Raw genomic sequence first — 20,221 nt, 5'->3', positions numbered from 1 at the left:
ATTTCCCAGTTCTCCAGCCTGAAGCTTATCAGTCTTCCCCTTATGAACCAATTCTATGGTGATCAGTAAAGGTGACTTAATCTGAAATGCTCTTATCAATAAGATGACCCCTTTTTGTGGACACTCCAAGGCAGCCAGGGCCCCAATGCCCCCCTCCATCCCTCCATACACGCACTATTTAGATCACTATTGTGGAGGCACACAGAATCTCATTCCCAAATCCTACCATGTCATATAGGAAGTTTGTGAACCAGTACATCCTGTAGCCAAGGCCACTTATGTGCTGCAACCTTTTGGCTCCAATCACCCTGTCCCTCACCACAGAGCTGCCGATGGATGCAGACAGGATGGAGAATCCCAGCACGATGCAGAGGGCCACTCCACACTGACGGATGCTCTCCAGGCTGCGGGTGGAACAGAGCAGCTCTCAGGCACCTGACGAAGAACACAAGCCTTCTTTGCTAATAACAATCAGCAATGATGACAGCAGTGAAAACTGCTAATTAAAAATTCATAATCAGCCAGGCATGTTGGCTAAGGGCATGGATTCCCTCATTAAATCCCCTCAGCCACCTTTTGAGACATGGATGACTAAGCTCAGTTTACAGAAGACAAAACTGAGGAGCACAGTTTGAGGGCATTTCGGAGTCTTCTTGTGTCAAAATCTGCTCTTCACCATTGAGCCTGACTCCCAATTAAGATGAAAGATATCCTCTGAGCAGCATCCGGGTAAGCTGTGACCTTTGCCCACACAGGGACTGCTTTGCAATACAGTAGCACCTGCCAGAGAGGAGCCTTCACTACAGCTCCACACTGCACTGGCCCATCTCTGAATTTAGTCACATGAAATACCAACAAGATTTTGCAATAGATTGAGGTGCTCTGTAATATTATACACTGTACATTTTCTTAGTAATTGTTTTACCTGGAACACTACTACTTTTACTCAAGTCAATTGCTGCCTCCTCTCAACTCCTTTAGGAACAGTCAGACCACAGATGGTCTTTCAGGAGGCCGACACGATGGAACTCCTCAGCACAAGTCATCTGCTGTGCCATGCCTTCTGCTCCATCGTGTCGCATTCTACAACAGATGTCAGCTAGCCTACTCTTGGAATTCTGGCAGGTGTCAGACACTGTTAAAGCTAGAACCCTGAAAATCATTAAGTGAACGTGAGGACAAGCTGCAACCCAACCGGTGCTTCCTGCCGGTTCCTGCCAGATTAACAACTTGAGCAGAGAATGCCCATTAAGCAGATTTGCATTCTGCGACTTAATTTGGTAGGTCATAAAAAGTTTTTCAAAAATACCCACTTTTATTATCGACTTTTAATTAAAAGTTTGTCGACCATATAATAGAGAAGGGAGATGGGGGAGAAAAAGAGAAGACAGGTGGAAGCATGCTACCCTTTACAAAGACAGTGAGAACTGACACAGAATTCTGTACCTGAAGAGCTCTGGCCTTATCCCCACCCATGTCTCCATCTGGATCAGGAGGAAAATCTTGCATGAGAAATATTCAAGGAGGCGTTACTATGTTTATGTACATGAATGCAATGTTTATGATTTTAACCCCGAAAACTCTTCAGAAGATGTACAGTCCCATAAGTTTCTGGTAAATCATTCCCTTAGAAGAATTTCTGCTTAGAAGTACAGTTGCATGACAAACTCATCTGTTTTAAGCTCAGTCAATGTACTGACTCTCTTAATAGTCGTTTTTCTCACACTTTGCAAAGAAATGCCCAAGTCCTGTGGGCATTTCCTGCTAACTCTATAAGCCATCTCTTGGGGCAAATGCAAAAGAGAGACCAAAGTCATCCCTAAGTAACACAAAGATTTTCTTCCATAGTCAGGGTCACACACCCCTCAGCATTCCATCAACTCACATCTTGTCCTCGTTCAGCAAGGCCCCTCCATATGGGTGGCTGTAGAGTGTTATTCCTGTGAAAGACAAATTGAAAAGTGAGCCTTCAGCCTGCTCCTGCATGGTGAATCGCAGCTCATCTACAGGCTACGCAGATTCCCTGTGCCATCACAATGTATCCTGCTTGCTTTGCCCAGGCCCTGGTCAATTAGCAGAAAAAAATGGCAAATTCCATTGTGAAATTCAGCAAATATGTGCTGGGATTTCTGTCATTGCTGTTGTTGTCAAACATAACCAGCATGAATTGTTCATGCTTTACATGACAGGCCCTATGTTCATAGGTTCTCATGTTTTATTGTGTAATCCTCATAAGTATCCCATAGCCTATGTTTGCAGAGAGGAAACATACTCAGGCTAAGTAACAATATGCAAAGAAGACTATCTGATATGAATCAGATCAATATTCACCTCTAGATCAAGCCACATCTAGATAGATAGATAACGACTGTTTCACTGAACCAATTTTGGTTTTGGAGTTGTTTGTTTTGTTTTGCTTTGTTTGCTTTCTTGGGCTTGCGCATGTGTGTGATGCCAGCGGCCAAAATGAAGAAACTGCCATCAGCTTATCAATTAAAAGCATTTTATTATAAGAGCTGTTTATAATATCACAGAGTGGGACAGTGCTTCCCCAGAAATTCTAGTCAATATTGTGTTAAGAAGAACTCCATAAATAAAGTTGGTTCGTGTTTTATCTTGGACATTGTGGACTGTGAGAGTAATCAGATTTCCTTTGCCTAATTGGTTGTGTCAGTGATTGGAGTCAAATGTGTGGCTTGTATGTGGAGGCCATTACCAAAGGCACAAATCCTTGCTCCATTTCATGTTGCCAGTCCTAGATTTTGCTTATTTTTCTTTTGGCTCGCCTTTAATTTACCCTATCATCTGTATTTTAATTTATACTATCACCTGTATTTTAATTCATCTTATCGGTATTATCTTATCGGCACTGCTTTATGAGAGCACATTAAATCCTTACTGAAACATCATGGGGTATAAGTAAGCCTACAAAAAAGGTACAGAGTTGGAACAGGCTACAGTGCTCCAAACTTCCAACAGCTTTGCGACCAGGCATCTGGACTTCTGTCCCTTTGCCACCTGCTCTTCTCCCCAGCTATGCCAGCCTTTTTTTTCCTTCTATTGGGAACTCAGCCACGTACTAAGGCAAGTTCCGGCTCATAAAAGCAACAACAGTAGGAGCTGTTGGTTCAGCAAATCCACTGTACAGTTTTCCAGAATAAATTTTGATTATAAATTAATACTGTCCAGATATTCTGGTCCAGGCTCGCAGTGTGTGTGCCTGACACCTGCTGCATCGCTTCCTGGATCCTGGACTTACCACATTCATCATGAACTGAATTGTGTGGTCTTGATCCCTCACCTGTCTGGACCAATAACACCCACCAGTCTTTCTCCTATGTGTCTTTCTTTCACCAAGCTTTATTTCTAGCCTACACCTCATGGGGCCTGCCAGTCCTGTCCTTCCTAGCTAAAGTGTTGACTCACAGGGAGCTTCTCACTTGATGTGCAGCCCAATGTCAACCAACCTTATCAGGAGGTCAGAAAAAGCCAAGCGACATTAGACAGTGTTTATAAAGTATCAGATCCTGCCAAAGTATGGCCCGTGGACCACTGGTGCTGTGGAGTATATTTGCAATGTTGTGTGCTCTTCTAGACTCTACGTAAGAATGAGAACACTCTGGATTAAGAGGATCCAGAGAAATGTGGTTAGCTGAGTACATGTCTTGGAATTATATTATTTGAGGAACACAGTAGAATACTGAAATTGTTTAACCTAAATATACACACACACACCCTGGGGCAAATATCCCCATCATCTTCCCAGTCACCCAGGCTCAAAAAACACTAAGCCCTCCCCATCTCCCTGCTCTTCTTCACCCCACACATCCAAGAAGTTACCGAGTCCTGTTACTTTCACGTGAACTCCATCCTCGCAGTGCCAGGCCTCACTCACAAACATGTGCATCCCTGCTCAGCTCACCTCTCCGCACACTCATGAATCCCTCACCCAGAAAGCCTAGAGAACTTCCAGAAAGAAATAGAAAAATATAGAGCCCATATTCTTTACCTAGACACAGATCTCCTTTAAAGTGAAACCCAATCTTTGTATTCTCCCACTGCTCCCATTTGAAAAGCTGGATTGCTATCATTTCCCCAAACTCTATGGCTGCAGGCATATGTTGTCATTTGCTTATGCTTCCTGTCCAACCCTGCTGACACCCCACTCCTGCCTCATGTCTGTCCAACGCTGAATTTAATTTCCTTGGTTTTCAATTATTATTGCTTTCATTTTGTTTGTTTTGTTTCCAGCTTTATTCAGGTATAACTGACAAATAATAATTGCAAACATTTAAGGTGTACTATGTAATGTTTTGATATATGTATACATTACAAAATGATTATCACAATTTTTATCCTGCTGGTGGGAATGTAAATTAGTACAGCCCTTATGGAAAACACTATAGGGGTGCCTCAGAAAATTAAAAATAGATCTACCATATGCTCCAGCAAACCCATTTCTAGATGTATGTCAAAAAATAAAGTAAAATAAAATATTATCTTGAAGAGATATCTGCAGGCCCATGTGCATTGCAGCATTATTCACAATAGCCAAGATATGAAAATAACCTGTGTCTGTTGATAAATGAGTGGATACAGAAAATATAAGATAGATATTCATGCACATAATGGAACATTACTCAGCTTCAAAAGAGAAGGAAATCCTGTCTTGGAGACAACATGAATGAACATGAAAGACATTATGTTAAGAGAAATAAGTCAGGCAAAGAAAGACAAACACTGCAAAATCTCATTTATGTGTGGAACTTTTAAAAGTCAAATTCACAGAAAGAGAGAGTAGAAGGCTGTCACCTCAGGCCAGGGGAAAGAGGCAATGGGGAGATGTTAGTCAAAGGATACAAAATTCCAGACATAAGATAAATAAAGCCTGGGCATGGTAGCTCACACCTGTAATCTCAGCCCTTTGGGAGGCCAAGGAAGGAAGATTGCTTAAGCCCAAGAGTTTGAGGCCAGCCTGGACAACATGGAGAGACCCCATTTCTACCAAACAAATTGTTTTAATTATCAGGGCATGGTGGCATGCAACTGTAGTGGCAGCTACTTGAAAGGCTGAGGTGGGAGGACTGCTTGAGCCCAGGAGTCTGAGGCTGCAGTGAACCATGATTGCGCCACTGCATTCCAGCCTGGGCAACAGAGTGAGACCTCATCTCTCTCAATAAATAAATACATACATAAGTAAATATGTAAATAAGTTCTGGAGACCTAATGTATAGCATGGCAACTACAGTTAATAATGTTTTGCATACTAAACATTTGCTGAGAAATTAGATCTTAGTTATCCTCACAAAAAAAGGATTAATTAAATTTTCAGGAGTATGAAGATGGGCAAAAAGGAGGAGAGGAAAATCTCAAACTCTAAGTCCTTTCAAACTTGTGAGCAGAGAGAAAGAGTTGGTAGCCAGAAATACACAAAAATTAGCCTGTAGCCATGTGCTGTATGCTATTTAGGACATTAGACTATTTGTATAAATTCTGATAGAGCAACTATGTCACATCAGAATTATTATGCCTGTTTACAGAAGCAGTATCTGAAGCACAGATATTTAGGAAATGTTCCTATAGACTGACAGCTATGACACAGCTGAGATTCAGGCCTTAGTCTGCAGACACCACAACTATTTCCCTGCCAGCATATCATACACCCTTCTTCAGCACACGTGTCTGGTTTTCCTAAGACTATAGCCATACAGTGGGAAGGATACAGGGCTGGAAGTTGAAGGCCTCTGTTCTATTCATTCTTCAGTGAAAAGCTGCCAAAAGAACACTGCTGTTTCTGTGGGGAGCTCAATAATAAAATATTAAACTACCAAGGTTGGATCTTTATTTGATCAAGTCGCATAAATACCTTTTCTTACCTTAAACCATGACAGTCACTGCTGAAAGATTAAAAACAGTGTTCTCATATTTGCTTTCTGTATCCTAGTTCTTCTGTTATGAATTTATTGCCCTTCATTTTAGCACATTTCCTGGATTTGTGTCATTCTTTTAGGGTTTTCATCTAGGAGGCGAGAGTACATCTGGTCTCCCATCTCGCTGGTGAAATGATTGACTGCTCCTGTAGTTAGTAATTCCCCAACGTGCCAGACCCTCTCCTGGAAGTTTTCATAATACATTTTCTCATTCAGTAATCTGATGGTGAAATTGTGTTAAGGAAGCTAGTATGCTATGCACAGTTCTTTGTAAGTCAGCTTTCAGCATTTTAGAATTATAGATTCTTTTAGGAAAATGAAATCCCATGAAGTGGTCTAGCTTGGACAGGCCCTTGTGTTCCAGAAGCAGAAACAGAATCAGAGGAATGTTGTGACTTTTCCTGGAGTTTAGAACCTGCTCCTGACACAGGCAGAACCCACATGTCTGGAGTCACAGGTATGTGTCTCTCTCATCAAATCACCTACTAACATACAGAGCACTGAAAATCCTGCCTCTACAATGAGCCGCAATGGATCCCAATGACAGCATAACATAGAAATGAAAACCTCAACTATGACAGCAGAAGAGAGCAGCTGATAAATTTCACGTAATGAACTTCAGGAGACAGCCCACTGATGGCAGCCATCCTGCCTTTTCCGATTTTTTGCACATAGCTGTAATCTTCCATGAGCTCTGTCTCTACTTAGGTCTTAGAAGTAAAAAACCACTGGTGCAAATACCTGAACCCCCACAAACTACAGTGGCTGCCTCTCTCTTCCTAGGTCCCTTACTCATAAATAATTCAGAGGGGCCACAGATTTTCATTTGGCACAGGCTTTAGAGTCCTATAATTTACATGATTGTCATAGAGTAAATATTTAAAGACTCTATTAAAGAACACACTGATCTACAGTTCCTCTCATGGGGCGCTCTAGGGAATCCTCATGGCCTTGGAATGGGGCCTTTCTGCTTAGTGCTCAGAGCTCTTGGACAATTCCTAAGCATTTTGGGGCTTAACATTCCCATGTTTTTACTCTGAAATTAAAAAATTATCTTTCAAAGCTAATACACAGAGAATGAGAGGGCTTAGACCACAGTGTTTAGGAAAATAATGTCATCAAGTAAGTAGAGAAAACCCTGGACCTGCTGTCAGTCTTGAGTTCACTCCCCACCTCCCTCCACTGGACATTGACCACCAGCTTTTATAAGACAACAGCCTGCCCCTGTCAGGCCAAGGGTTAAAGAATGTTCTGACTTTGTTATGATTTTGGTGGTGAAAACCGGGGCACTGGACAGTAATTGAGTTTCACCAAGGGTCAAATAGAGATTTGATTCCTCTTCCTTCACAGAACGGAGAATTCATTCAACACGCATCTTTTCTCTGCCCATTATGCCGCAGCAGTCTGATGGGAGGGACACACCATGGTGAGGGTACTATAGCCCACTCACAGGACTATGTCCTGTGTAAGGTCACCTAAGAGGTTGGGTGCAGCAGGGTGGGAGGAAGTCGGGGAGCTTTCTAAGGAAAGGTAGATTCCAGATGCACAGGATACCCCAGCACAGGGCTGGAGTGCAAGGAAAGTACAGTCCTACAGGGCTGCCCTGGAGCTTCAGTGGGAAGACTGGAGGGGTGGCAGAGAGGTGCAGGGTGAAACCCATGCAATGTTTTGGTTTAGGAACACTGGGTGAACTTTTCATTTTTATCTTGCAATTTAGCTTATCAATCACTACATTAGATGTTTTTAGAATCATAGTCATTCGTTGAAAGCAGCTGCATAGAATTAAACATACATTAAAAATCAAGCAAATATATCTTTAAATTGGTGCTAAAAAGATTTTACTCTTATTTTTCAAAAAGGAAGATGGACTTGGAGTTACTTAAATAAATAATGGATATTTTCTCAAAAATAAGAGTAATGAATAAAGAAAGAACAAACAAGACACAGGTGGAAGCTTACTCTCCTACCTAAGGTCCTTGGTTGTCCTAGATCCCTGAGCAAAAAGCAGCAGGTAGGAGCAATTGCAACGGCATGGGCTCACCCTCACACTACCCTGCACCTTCCCATGATACCCCTTGTTCTTTAAAATTGTAAAACGTTAGAAAGCAGAACTCTCTTCATGGATCCAAAGAAAGAGAGGATAGCTATGCCCTGTCTCATAAAGAGGAATCCTACGAGACGTGATGGAGCCTACTGTAGAGGAAGTGTAGCCAAGGTTGGTGAGTGGGTGCAGGTAAGGAAACTGAGGCATAAGCTTACTCTACTAACTTATCTGAGGTCAAGCATAATTGGTACCAGAGTGAGAACTACAACCCTGATTTTCTGGATACCAGTCTGATCAATTTCCTATGAGACTAGGAAAATCATTTGTAGTCTTTGATACCCTTGCTGTAAAAAACACATTATTGCAATGGACAATCTCTGTAATTGGGTTGTAGATTTCATTGTATGTTGAGCACTCAGTACTCTAGGTAGGTAACAATTGTATTGTGATAGAATCTTGAGACAATGATGTTGGTAAAAGGTCCAAGGCTCCTAAGTAAAAGGGGCATAGTTTCAACACCAGAATTGAGTAGAAGAATCTCACTGAAGTCTTTACGACATTACTTCACAAGTTTTCAGAAATGACGTTTCAAAATGTACATGTTGAGTACATTTGAATAATTTTTCTTTGTTTGATTGTTATTATCATTTATATTCCGGCTTTTCTTTCCAGGAATTGGCCCACAGCAATGTATGAATGTACAAAATTAGTTTTCTCATTTAGTGTTCTCATTATGGCTACATCTGTTATGGTTTCCAGACTCTGTTTATTTGTCATTGGTAAAAATGCACATCTGTGCTTTTGTCCAATATCCATTATGATAGCAAGATACTTAAGATGTCTCCAATTCAAGTACTCACTTTCGGGTTCATTACTCCTATAAAATGTATATCTTTAGAAGTATTAATGCCCAGATGTCTGTAAGCATCTACCAAAAGGAAAAACTTGTCTTATCATCAATATATGTGGAAAGTTTACGTTGTTTTAATTAATTCATTATGAGATATCAGTGAAATATGTAAGAGTAAAAAGTTAATTCAATCTAACAAACTATTAAAAGAAATATATGCGTTCTTCTGACTACAAGGCGTTTTGATGACTTTCTCTCTCTCTTCCTCATCAATCTATCCTGAAAAAATGTATTTTTCTCAATATTAATTATTACTCTATGAGTAATAGATGCCAATTGTAGAAGGGTTTTACATTTTTAAATAGGGTAAAGAATAAAATTAAAATAACTTATAATCCTATCCAAAACCAATCAGAAGTAATCACTGTTTGCATTTGGATCTTAATTCTGTTGAGAATTTTCTCTACATGTATGCATTATTATTAAGTTTTATATTACATATCTTCAGTTTAATGGGTAATTCTTGATCTTCCATTAATTTTTCACCACATGCATGCAAACATTTGCATAATCTATGTCCTTCACTACAACCGGTGCTCACCCAAGTTCTTTTCTTCATTGTGTGCATTCAATATTTTCATGATCTTCCTTTCAGTTAATATCTCAAATAACTACCTCCTGGCATTCTTTCTAATGGACAATATGTCTACAGTATATTTTTGAGCCACATTCTATATGAGCATATCTCTGTGGCCTGTGTACTTTATGGAAACATCTTCACTAGGTACAGAATGTGGGGAGTATAGCCTTTTCTTTCCATATTCCATAGGTGCTATTCTATTATTCTTTGCCTTTGAGGTTGTGGCTAATATGTCAGAGATAGTCCTCCTAGATGGAGCAGCCCCAGTTCTGCCAAGTCCTCATTTTTACAATAAAAAACTGCTGGACATAACACAACAAACAGAAATAGGAAGATTCTGGGGTGCAAACAAGATGATGGTGCCCTGAGACTATAAGACTTCAACAATACAACAGTAAATATTCTGGCTTCCTTATCACCTCACATATATCCTGAACAAGGCATTGCCAAAGTCTCCAAATTGAAACTCAACAAGTACAAATAAGAAAGGCTCCCAAAAATAAAAAACCCAAGGACCCGGAAAAGAGTGGTCTAACAAAAGAACTACTTTTTAGCAATATCTGCCTTACTCTAGGCAAACACCACCAGCAAAACTGTCCCCACCATCTCAGGTTTCAGCAGGGCCCATTGGGTAGTGAATCTTCCACTCCCCACCTGACAGAGACAAGGGGCACAGTGGTTTTCTCACTGGGGTCCTGAGGCAAGTTGAGACTCCATCCCCACCTGGTAGCAATGAGACTTCACAAAGCAGAGTGAGACAGGGCTAGCCGCCACTCTACTTCTCATGTCATGAGGGACCAACAAAGAGCTGAGCCTCCATATCTACCTGACAGCAATGAGACTGAACCCAGAAGTGCAGAATACGGCTACTCAGTACCCTGGTTCCACCACTGCCCCCACCCCAGTGGCAGCAGGGCACAGAGGGATGCCAAGCATCCATTCCCATCTGGCTTCGATGAGACTAAAGAATACTTTCAAAGTGAGCCAGCTGGTACTTCACTACCTGTCCCCAGCGTCATCAGGGCCCAATGGGGAGCAGACTCTACTCCCCCACTCACTTAGAGACAATGAGACAGCATGAGTCAGTGCCTCATTTGCCATGAATGTGTCAGTGAGGCTGGTGGGCGATCTGGTCCCACTCATCTGCACAAAAGCAGTGTAAGTCAGTTCTCTACCTTTGCCTAGCCAGGGTGGTGTCATCAGGCCCACAGGGAATCAAAACATATACATCTAGGTGGCTCTCATATGATTCCTCAACAGAGGGCTTGCCTGCTAGGAAAAGGAATCCAGAGTCACATATTACAGTTTCCAAAATGCCTAGGATACAACTGAAAATAATCCTTCACAACAAGAGCCAGAATATTACCAGTTGAAAAAGGCAATAAAAAATGGTAATGTCAAAATGAACTGAATGTTGAAATTATCTGACAATATGTATCATAAAGATGCTTCAAAAAGTAATTTTGAATTTTCCTTAAATATGAAAAACAAATTAAAATCTCATTAGAAAATATAAATGATTAAAAAATGAATGAAAATTCTAGAACTAAAATATACAATGACAGAAATTAAAACCCACTGGACATGCTCCACAGTTGAGTGCAGCTAAAAAAGAAGAGACTGCATGGACTCGAGATGAAAAAAATAAAACTTATCCAATCTAAATAACATAGAGAAATAAACTTTTTAAAAAATGAGACTCAGGAAAGAGACCTCTGGGAAAACAATACAAGAGCTAATAATCTTATTACCTGATCTTAGAGAAAAGGGAAAGAGAGAGTGGGGCTGAAAAAGTGTTCAAAGACATAACAGCTGAAAACTTCCCAAGTTTGGCAAAAAAAAACCATAAACCTAAAAATCCAAGAGCTAAATAAATCCCAAATAGGATAAAACCAAAGAAAGCCACACCAAGATACATCATAATTAAATTTCTAGAAACTAATAAGTCAACAAAAAAAATTCTTTAAAGCCGTCACAAAGAGAGAAGGAAGAAAATACCAACTAGAATAGTAATGGATTTCTAATTTGAAACCATGGAAGCCAAAAGGAAGTAGCACATTTTTCAAGTGCTGAGCTTTTCTTTAATTGTCAACCATGAATTCTATATTCAGTGAAAATATCTTTCAAGAATCAAGGTGAAATAAAGATCGTATCAGTTGAAAAAAATAAGCAAATTTTTCATTAGCAAACCTACTCTTAAAGAATAGCAAAAAGAAGTTACATAAGCACAAAGGAAATCATAACAGGAAAAGGCTTAGAACTTACAAAAGGAAAGATGAACATCAAGATACGTTAAAAATAGAAGTAAATATAATAGACTATTGTTCATCTCATGAGTTTCCTAAGTCATATTTGGTGACTTAACTAAGAATTAGAACACCATCTGATGTGGTGTGTATAGGAAACACTTAAGACAATAATATTTTAAAGGTAAACAGGGTAAAAGTAAATTGAAGTAAGCTTTCTACACTTCACCCAAGGTAGTAAATAACAATATCAGTAGACTGTGATAAGTCATATATATGTATTATAACACCTAGAAGAACCACTAAGAAAACTAAATGAATGTATATACTTAAAAATACTATAAATAAATCATAATAGAATCAAAAAAAATGCTCAAGTAACTCATGGAAAGCAAGAAAAGAGAAACAGAGGAAACATAAAACAAATGATAATGTCAGACTTACACCCAAATATATTAGTAATTACCTTAAATGCAATGGTTCCCAAACACCAATTAAAAGGCAGAGATAGGCAGTGCAGCTTAAAAAATATGACCTAACAATATACACTCTACACAAAACTCACTTTACACAATGAGATAGGTTGGAAATAAAATAACGGGAAAGATATATTATGTAAACATTAATCAAAAGAAAAAGAGAAGGAGTGACTATGTTGAGATCAGATAAAATAGATTTCACAGCAACTACATTTACTAGTGACAAAGAGGAACACTACATATATGCAAAGGATTAATCTACCAGGAAAATATAATCATCCCAAATGATAAAAGGCTCAATCCACCAGAAATATGTGACCATGCCAAATGTGTACACACATTTGACGTGTACCTCAGAGCTTCAAAATACATGAAGAAAAAACTGATGAAACTGAAAAAAGAAACAAAGCCACAATTTGGAGACTTTACTACTCGCCTCTCAGCAAACGAAATGTGTCAGTGATGATCTTCAGTGAAGGTTCAGTAATCTTCAATGATCAGTGAAGATATGGAAGAACAAAACCACACAATCAACCAACAGGATCTAATTGACATATAATGTACATTTCTAACAACAAGAGTAGAATACTTTTTTTTAATCACCCATGGAAGCTTCAAGATAAACAATATCCTGACCATAAAATGAACTTCAACCAATTTAAAATAATTGAAATAATGCAGAGTATGGTCACTGACCGTGATGAACCAAACCAGAAATCAGTAACAGAAAGACCACAGGAAAATCTCAAAAACTTAGAATTTAAACAACATGTTTTGAAATAATCCCTGGGTCAAAGATGAAGTCTCAAGAGAAATTATAAAAAATGTCAGAGGCCAGTCTTATTTTTATTCCTTTGAAACTAATGTGCTTTGACTCATAGCTTTGTAAAAACTTTTTTCTTTATCCTTGAACTTTAGAAAATTCATCAAATTTGTGCATCAATCATTGCTACTGCCATAATACCTAATTCATAAATTTTGATAGAATCATGACAAACTCTTCCAATCTATTGGTACAGAATTATTTTGTTGTTTTGTTTTGTGTTCGATTCATTTTCTTCTTACATCATTCCTTCTTACTTTCTTATTCATCTGCTTTTTTTCTATACCCGATTCCTCTAGCTTTTCCCCTCTGATCAGTTTTACTGTGTCACCTTTTCCCTGTGTGTTCTTAGAGAATACTGCATGTTTGTTCTTTAAGTCAATAATTCTAAGTGAAGGAGAGAGGTTTGTAATCAATCAATAATGTTATTCACTGCATCCAATGAAAATTCATATTTCTATCTTCATCTTAGCTAGCTCCGTTTTTGTAACACACTGCAGCTCAGCCTGGCATTTTCTTCTTATCTTTTATCCTCTCTTTCATAGGGTTCACACATTTTCCTCTATTTATGCAGATATAAACACATCATGAGATGCTCCCCATGAAAACACCCTCTCAAGGTATGCAATGTCCTCCTCTCTGTGGTTGGGGGATCAGTCCTTGTTCCATACTGGGTTTGATAACTGGCTTTGCTGTCCTTTTGTTTCTTACTCCCTGATTCCAGCAAGGGCAAGCTAGTACTGGTGCTTTGCATTGCTCAGAATCCTCCCTTACCAGGGTGCCCCTTTACCTTCACTCGGGTACCACCAGATCTTCTCTCTCAAATATCTCAAATATACCCAAAGCTCTCAAGGGCATGTTGAAGGTTATGGATGCCAGCCGAATTCCAACAGCCAATGCTGTTCATTCAGTAGCTCTATTACAGATCAGAGATTTTCCCCTGTTCTCATGCTCATACTCTCTCATTGTGATTTGGAGATTTTAGCAGGTTTCTCATTTCATCAAAAGCAAAGCAGGAAAATCTACCATGCATGTCATCCACTGCTCCCAGGTTCATTTCATCTCTGTCCCATCATCCTAGCATGCAACATGCACCACCCTTCTCCTTCCTCCCTGGGGTTTGCAGCATACTAATGAGTTGTGGCCCTCCAGGGGATTCCAAAAGAGATATACAAATGGGGAGAAAAGAAAGTCAAGAGCTCTTTCTTGTTCTAATACAGAACAGTCCTCCCCTGACACCCAGTAGCCAGGTATCCATCAGGTTCCTTCCTAGCAGTGAGAAGGTGAGTGTGGATATCTCTAAACTGACTCCTAACTTACACTTCTGTCTGTTTTCCTGCTTCAGTGGTCAGAATATGAATCAGCTGGGAAGTTTATCAGTTTAACCCAGTGGTTCTCAAACTTGGTTACCATTAGAATCACCCAAAAACATTAAAAATGCCTGCTGTTAAAGACTTACTCCAAATCAACCAAATCAGAATCTTTGGATAAGCAACATAAATCAATATTTTTTAAATGCTTAAGTGATTCCAATGTACAGACAGTTTAATGACCATGGATCTGGCTTGTTCATGACATTGCTGAGGTTAATTCCTCCCACATGGTGGCATTTCATTACTGGCATGCCAAGGTTTGGATGAAATTTCAATAAGTAGTTGAAGAAGTTTAACCTTTACAACTGCTATCATCACCACCCACAACCACCCCCAATAACACAAAATAAAATAATACTTTATCCCTTTTCATTTTTACTCTATCAGAGGAAGATACCTTCCTATCTACTTAAGCACTTCTATTTAATCTTCTGTTTTCACTTATTCTGTTAATCTTATTAAAAGAAATTTCCTCTTAGGTTCATTATTTTATATCTTTATTTAATATTTTAATTTAACAAAATTATGCCAACTTAAAAGGTCCTAATAACGAAAGAAGCAAGTACATATTTTGCTGCATATTTATCTTTATTTTAGAATGTAATTATCATAATGGAATGTACTATAGTAACCCTAAAATATAGTGCAAAAGCAAATTCACTTAAATGACCTATTTATTGAATACCTATGAATAAAGACTTTAGAAAACACAAACATCAGTAGTATAAACACCTTCCATGAAGTGTTTACACTTTTATTAACAAAGGAATGTAAACAAATAATGATAATGTGAAGTATCAACTGCTCTAATGACTGTCTTAGTCTGTTTTCTGTTGCTATAATAGAATACCTGAGACTGGGTTATTTATTTATTTATTTATTGAGACTGTCACTCAGGCTGGAGTGCAGTGATATTAGCTCACTGCAACCTCTGCCTCCCGGGTTCAAGCAATTCTCCTGCCTCAGCCTCCCAAGTAGCTGGGATTACAGGTGCCCACCAACACGCCCAGCTAATTTTTTTATTTTTAGTACAGACAGGGTTTCACCATGTTGGCCAGGCTGGTCTCGAACTCCTGAGTTCAGGTGATACACCTGCCTCAGCCTCCCAAAGTTCTGGGGTTACAGGAATGAGCCACCATGCCCAGCTATGAGACTGGGTAATTTATAAAGGAAAAAAGTTATTTCTTACAGTGTTTGGAGTCTGGGAAGTCCAAGGGCATGGCAACAGCAATAAGTAGCCCACTCCTGAGACACTGACATTAATTCATTCATGACAGAGGAGGCCTCATGACCCAAGCACCTCTCAAAGGTTCCTCCTCCCAACACTGTTACACTGCGGACCAAGTTTCCAACACACAGACTTTTGGGAGACACATTTAAAATACAGCAATGACCTAACACAGTGTCTGGGAAATATCTGTCATTATATGAATGCTTGATAGAAATAAATATATGGATGAATTTCATAAGCAAATAACTGTGGGAGAAGAAAGAGAAGCCACTAACTCATCCTGCAGGGGTGGTGAGTATTCCAACAGAGGTGATGTCTGAGATGGGCCTAGAAAGTTAAGCAGAAATGCTTAAGGTGATGCAGGAGAAGACAGGCAGTCTCAGCAGAGGCAATGCAGCTACCAGGCTCACAGGGATGGCAGGGCAGTGATGCAAAGGCCAGCTACACGGAGGGGAAAGTGAGGGGCCATAAGCGAGACATGAGGCTGAGAAGATAGGTCAGGAGCAGCTAGCTGTCTCCTAGAGAGAAAGGGCCAGCCTGGGTTCTAAGAAAATAGCTTCTTATCAAGCGGCCTGCATCAGGGTTCAGAAATCTCTAATATTAGAATGTGTACATCTGCTGAAACCTCATCAAAAACCATTGTCATGAGAAGTGTGATATATTGTCCGTGTAGTATAATGATCCGTTCATTCACTTGTTATAGCCTGAATGTCCCCTGAGCCTGGTGCTGTGCGACTGCTGAGACGAACAGGGAGCAAGACACAGCTTCTGTTTTCATGGGATTTACTGAAGTTCCACATTGGGGCAAGGTTTGTTTCACTCTAAGTATTAAGCTAATAGTTCTAGCTCTGTCCATTTCCCACAGGAACAAGCAAGCATCAAGGGATGTGATGAAATATTTTCATCAGAACCCTGCTCGTGGGAGTTCTTTATCAATATTTTGATAATAACTGCCAACACACCTTCCTGTGGTGCTATGTATTGTATATTCCCAATTTATTGCACAAACCTTCCTTTCCCATGATGATGCATCAACAAGTCAAATTAGAATTTATCTGTTTAGTCTCAAGTTTTTAAAACAACCTCTCTCTGCTTAATTCCTTCTACTTTAATTTTCCATTTCTGAAACACCATTGAACTAGCCCTCTGGAAGTCACCAGCAAAACGTCTGCATTCTACTTCTTCTGGATGACCCTGAAATATTTCATTTTTCCTGCCCATCCATGTGAAATTCTGCCCTCCACTGGCCTCTGTGCCAAGATCTTCTTACCTCAAGGGCTACAGAACCTTTGTCCTCTTCCCTCTGTTCTACCCATAGCCTTCTTCTGTTCTGAGCCTGTGTCTGACCCGTGCAGGATCTCACTTTACCAACACCTTTATCTATCATTTGTTATTAATGTTAGAACTTAGGTTACCTATGACTGCTCTACCAAACTTTTCTCTCCAGTTTTCTGAATCCTACGCACATTTTCATCTATGTATGTGAACCAAACTAGCATCTCTAATCCTGCACAAATCACCTCGCCCCTTCCTTGAAAACATCTCTTCTCCCTGCCATTTCTTATAATGTCATCAGTACTGAACTCTAAAATGCTCAGGTTTATATTTTAGTTTCTTAAAATCTTTTTTATTCCCATCCCTAGTGCCTCAATCTTTTCTCCCATCTGTCTGAAATTTATCATTTTTTTCCTCTGGATTCATCCTGGCCTTAACCTCAAAATTGTGAGCAGTATCCTTCCAATAGGTCATTAAATTACAACCAGTCTTCTCCCTTTAATCAGTGGCTTCCAGATCATTCTTCCTAACATATTACATAGATTATGTCATTCTTATTCTCACATATTGGTAAAGCCTGTCCATTGCTTACTAAAGTCCATACTCTTCATCATGTCAGTCAAAGCCAAGCAGCATTTGATCTTAAACAATCTTTCCAAAGAGATCAACAATTATCCCTCTACATTCAGCTTTATGATGAGGTGAAACTGGACTGTTCCATATAAGCTGAACATACACTATAATTGTTATTGCATTGCTAAGACCTAGAATGGCTTTCTGACCTCAGTCAAACTTCTGCTCATTGTTCAAGATCCAGTGTTAATGACTTCCCCTCTGTGAACCATGCTGTATTCATGCCCACCAGAATGACATCTCAGTTTGATGTAGTAGAAAAGCAAGAGTTTGTTATCAGCTAGACCTAGAATCCAGTCATGGCCCCATTATTACCTTGCTCAGAGCCACAGCTGATAGGCGATGTTTTCTGAAAATCAGTTTTCTAATCAGTAAAGTAGGCAAATATTGTCTATCTTACAAAATTGACATAAAAATCAGATAAGACCATGGATGTTAAATATCTAATGAAGTTCTTGATACACTTCAAATATGTTAGAAATGTTATTCTGCTGTCCCTACTCTGTATGACTATTGTACTATTTTTGTACTTCTCTTAGTCACGTACATTTTTAACTTTTACATTACCTATTAGCATTCCAAAATAATTACAATGCCACAAAATAATTAAATTTACTTTGTTAAAAAACTGGTGTAGAAGGAAAAATAAATATGGAAAAATAAAGTATGATTGAAATAAAGTGAGAGCATATTAGAAAAATTGTTTAGTGTTGATGTCTATGTGAATTAATGTTTCAACAAATACATTTTGTGAATAAATTGTGGTGGACATGGCCTGTTGCTTATACTTCTTGTTTCTTTCCTTTCTTTAAAAAAGAAGCTAAATTAAATTAACAAATTATAATTTATCCCACCTAAGTGAAATAAATAAATATTCACTTAAACCAGTAAGTTAACTCTGGATACCAGAAATGGACCTGTGCCATTTACCAAAATAAGAAAGCATAGATAATGAATCAATGATCAACATAAATAACTGATGAATTGAGGGCTCAGCATAAATCAAAATGTGATGTTCATCTTCCCAGTGATAAGGAGGAGGGACAGTCTGTATTCTCTATTACAGTATTCCATATAATATTGTCTTTAAAAGGTAAAATTTTTCTTGCTTCTGTAAGATATTAAGTCACAGAATAAAATAATTTTAGGAGAGAACTCTCCAGTCACATTTTGTTCCCCTCATCCTACAGATGAGGTTACAGGTTCAAGAAAATAAAGACATTTAATGACACACAAAGGGAAAGACAGCCTACAACTTGGTATTGTGTTTAGACACGGATTGGTTGCCAAGTAGAAACCTTCTCATTGCCCCTCACATTTCTATTCAGAAACTTTTCTGTTTCTTTCACTTTTAAAAACATTGTCTTTTGAAAGTAGTGAATTACAATGCATGAAAAATAACATTACCGTATTGTCTCCAGTCCACAGTAGGGGGTAGGTGCTGCCACAAAATAAGGTTGTTTAGATGATTTAAGTAGGAAGGTAGGGAATGAAAACCCTTCTGATTATACCACACCTAAAAAAAGAAAGATAATTTAATGGCTCTCACGAAATTAGCTCGTAAGTCTGTTTGTCAACTATTCTGGGATTTAAGGAACGTATGTGTCAATTAACTTCCAAGGCACCTGAGTGCAGGATTCAAAGTAATGTTCCTGCATGGCTGACAGTGAGCAGTCAATTCTAGTCTGCTAATTTTATATTTATCTCCAGCATATAATTTACAGCTAAAAATAGATTAATTTTCCCCAGAACAAATGTGAATGTTGCTCTATAATTATTTTCTTATAAGAATAAAGGAACCAAACCCTATCATTTTTTTTTCTTTCTCAGTTAGTAAGCTACTGAAATTTGACCTGCAAATTAAATGTGTGGAAGATTATCAGAAAAAAAATGATTACTTTCAAATTAATAACTGAACATGGAACATTATTTCTCAAAATAAACTGAACTGAACATTTGCTGAGCATGGAGAATAAAGTAGCATGCCTGTCAAGAGAAAGGTGAAAATAAGAGAAAGACAATGTTATTAAAGCTGGAATGAGAAGCATCATAAAAAACACTAATCAAACCATCAGTATCTATATTTCAAAGTATCAATATTTTAATAAAAATGAAAATATATTATTAATTTGAAAAGCAAGTGAGTGTCTTCAAGAAGTATGATGACTCCAACTGATGCATTTTGGTCTTAATTCAATTGACTGAACAGCTCATTTCTCTAGAAGAGGCTGCCTTTTGTGACAGATAATCCGCTTGGTAGAATTACCGCTGCCTCACAGCAAGTTAAGGCTTGGGGGAACCTATTCAAGTTATCGTAGTTTATGCAAACTTTGGACCAGATCTCAAATCCCTTCCAACTTGAGGGCTTCCAATCTCTTTTCTTTCCACCCCTTCATGCTATAACTAATTATTTTTTAACCAGAGACTTGTGTGGCAGCTATTGTGTTTGTGGAAACAGCTAAGTAATAAAATATTGATCATATAGTTAAAAAACCAAAAAGAGAAAAAAAAAAAACAAAACCCTACTACACAAGACAATGTTCCCCAATTCCTTCTCAAATAGCCTACCTCTTCAGGCAATTCAGAATGCAGATCTCATCTTTCACACCACTCATTTTAAAATATTTTCTTAAGTTCACAGAGAAATCCTTGCCAATCATTTTTTTAAACCCCAAGGAGAAGAAGTGCAGCTTGAGA

General features: G+C 38.7%; 1 protein-coding gene across 20 annotated transcripts in view; it reads right to left on the bottom strand.

Moving 5' to 3' along the window:
* ABCA13 (ATP binding cassette subfamily A member 13) overlaps window positions 1-20,221 on the bottom strand; it is a 476,040-nt gene that overhangs the window by 139,222 nt on the left and 316,597 nt on the right. For 12 of the 20 annotated variants that reach the window (XR_926914.3, XR_926915.3, XM_011515130.3 and 9 more), the window contains 3 exons: window positions 18,932-19,040; window positions 1,886-1,940; window positions 227-404 (listed from right to left, as the gene is read on the bottom strand). Coding sequence is in view for 17 of the 20 variants with exons in the window: in XM_011515130.3 (XP_011513432.1) it covers window positions 227-404; window positions 1,886-1,940; window positions 18,932-19,040 (342 nt within the window). In the remaining 3 variants the exon portion in view is untranslated. Of the gene's footprint in view, window positions 1-226; window positions 405-1,446; window positions 1,485-1,885; window positions 1,941-12,625; window positions 12,678-18,931; window positions 19,041-20,221 lie in introns of those variants that run through there. The other 8 variants (XM_011515131.3, XM_047419918.1, XM_047419922.1 and 5 more) reach the window with 5 other exon arrangements.

Source organism: Homo sapiens, chromosome 7 (assembly GCF_000001405.40).
Source record: "Homo sapiens chromosome 7, GRCh38.p14 Primary Assembly".
NCBI lineage: Eukaryota > Metazoa > Chordata > Mammalia > Primates > Hominidae > Homo > Homo sapiens.
The sequence above is the reverse complement of the archived record's forward strand: the minus strand, read 5'-3'. Positions and strand labels throughout refer to the sequence as shown.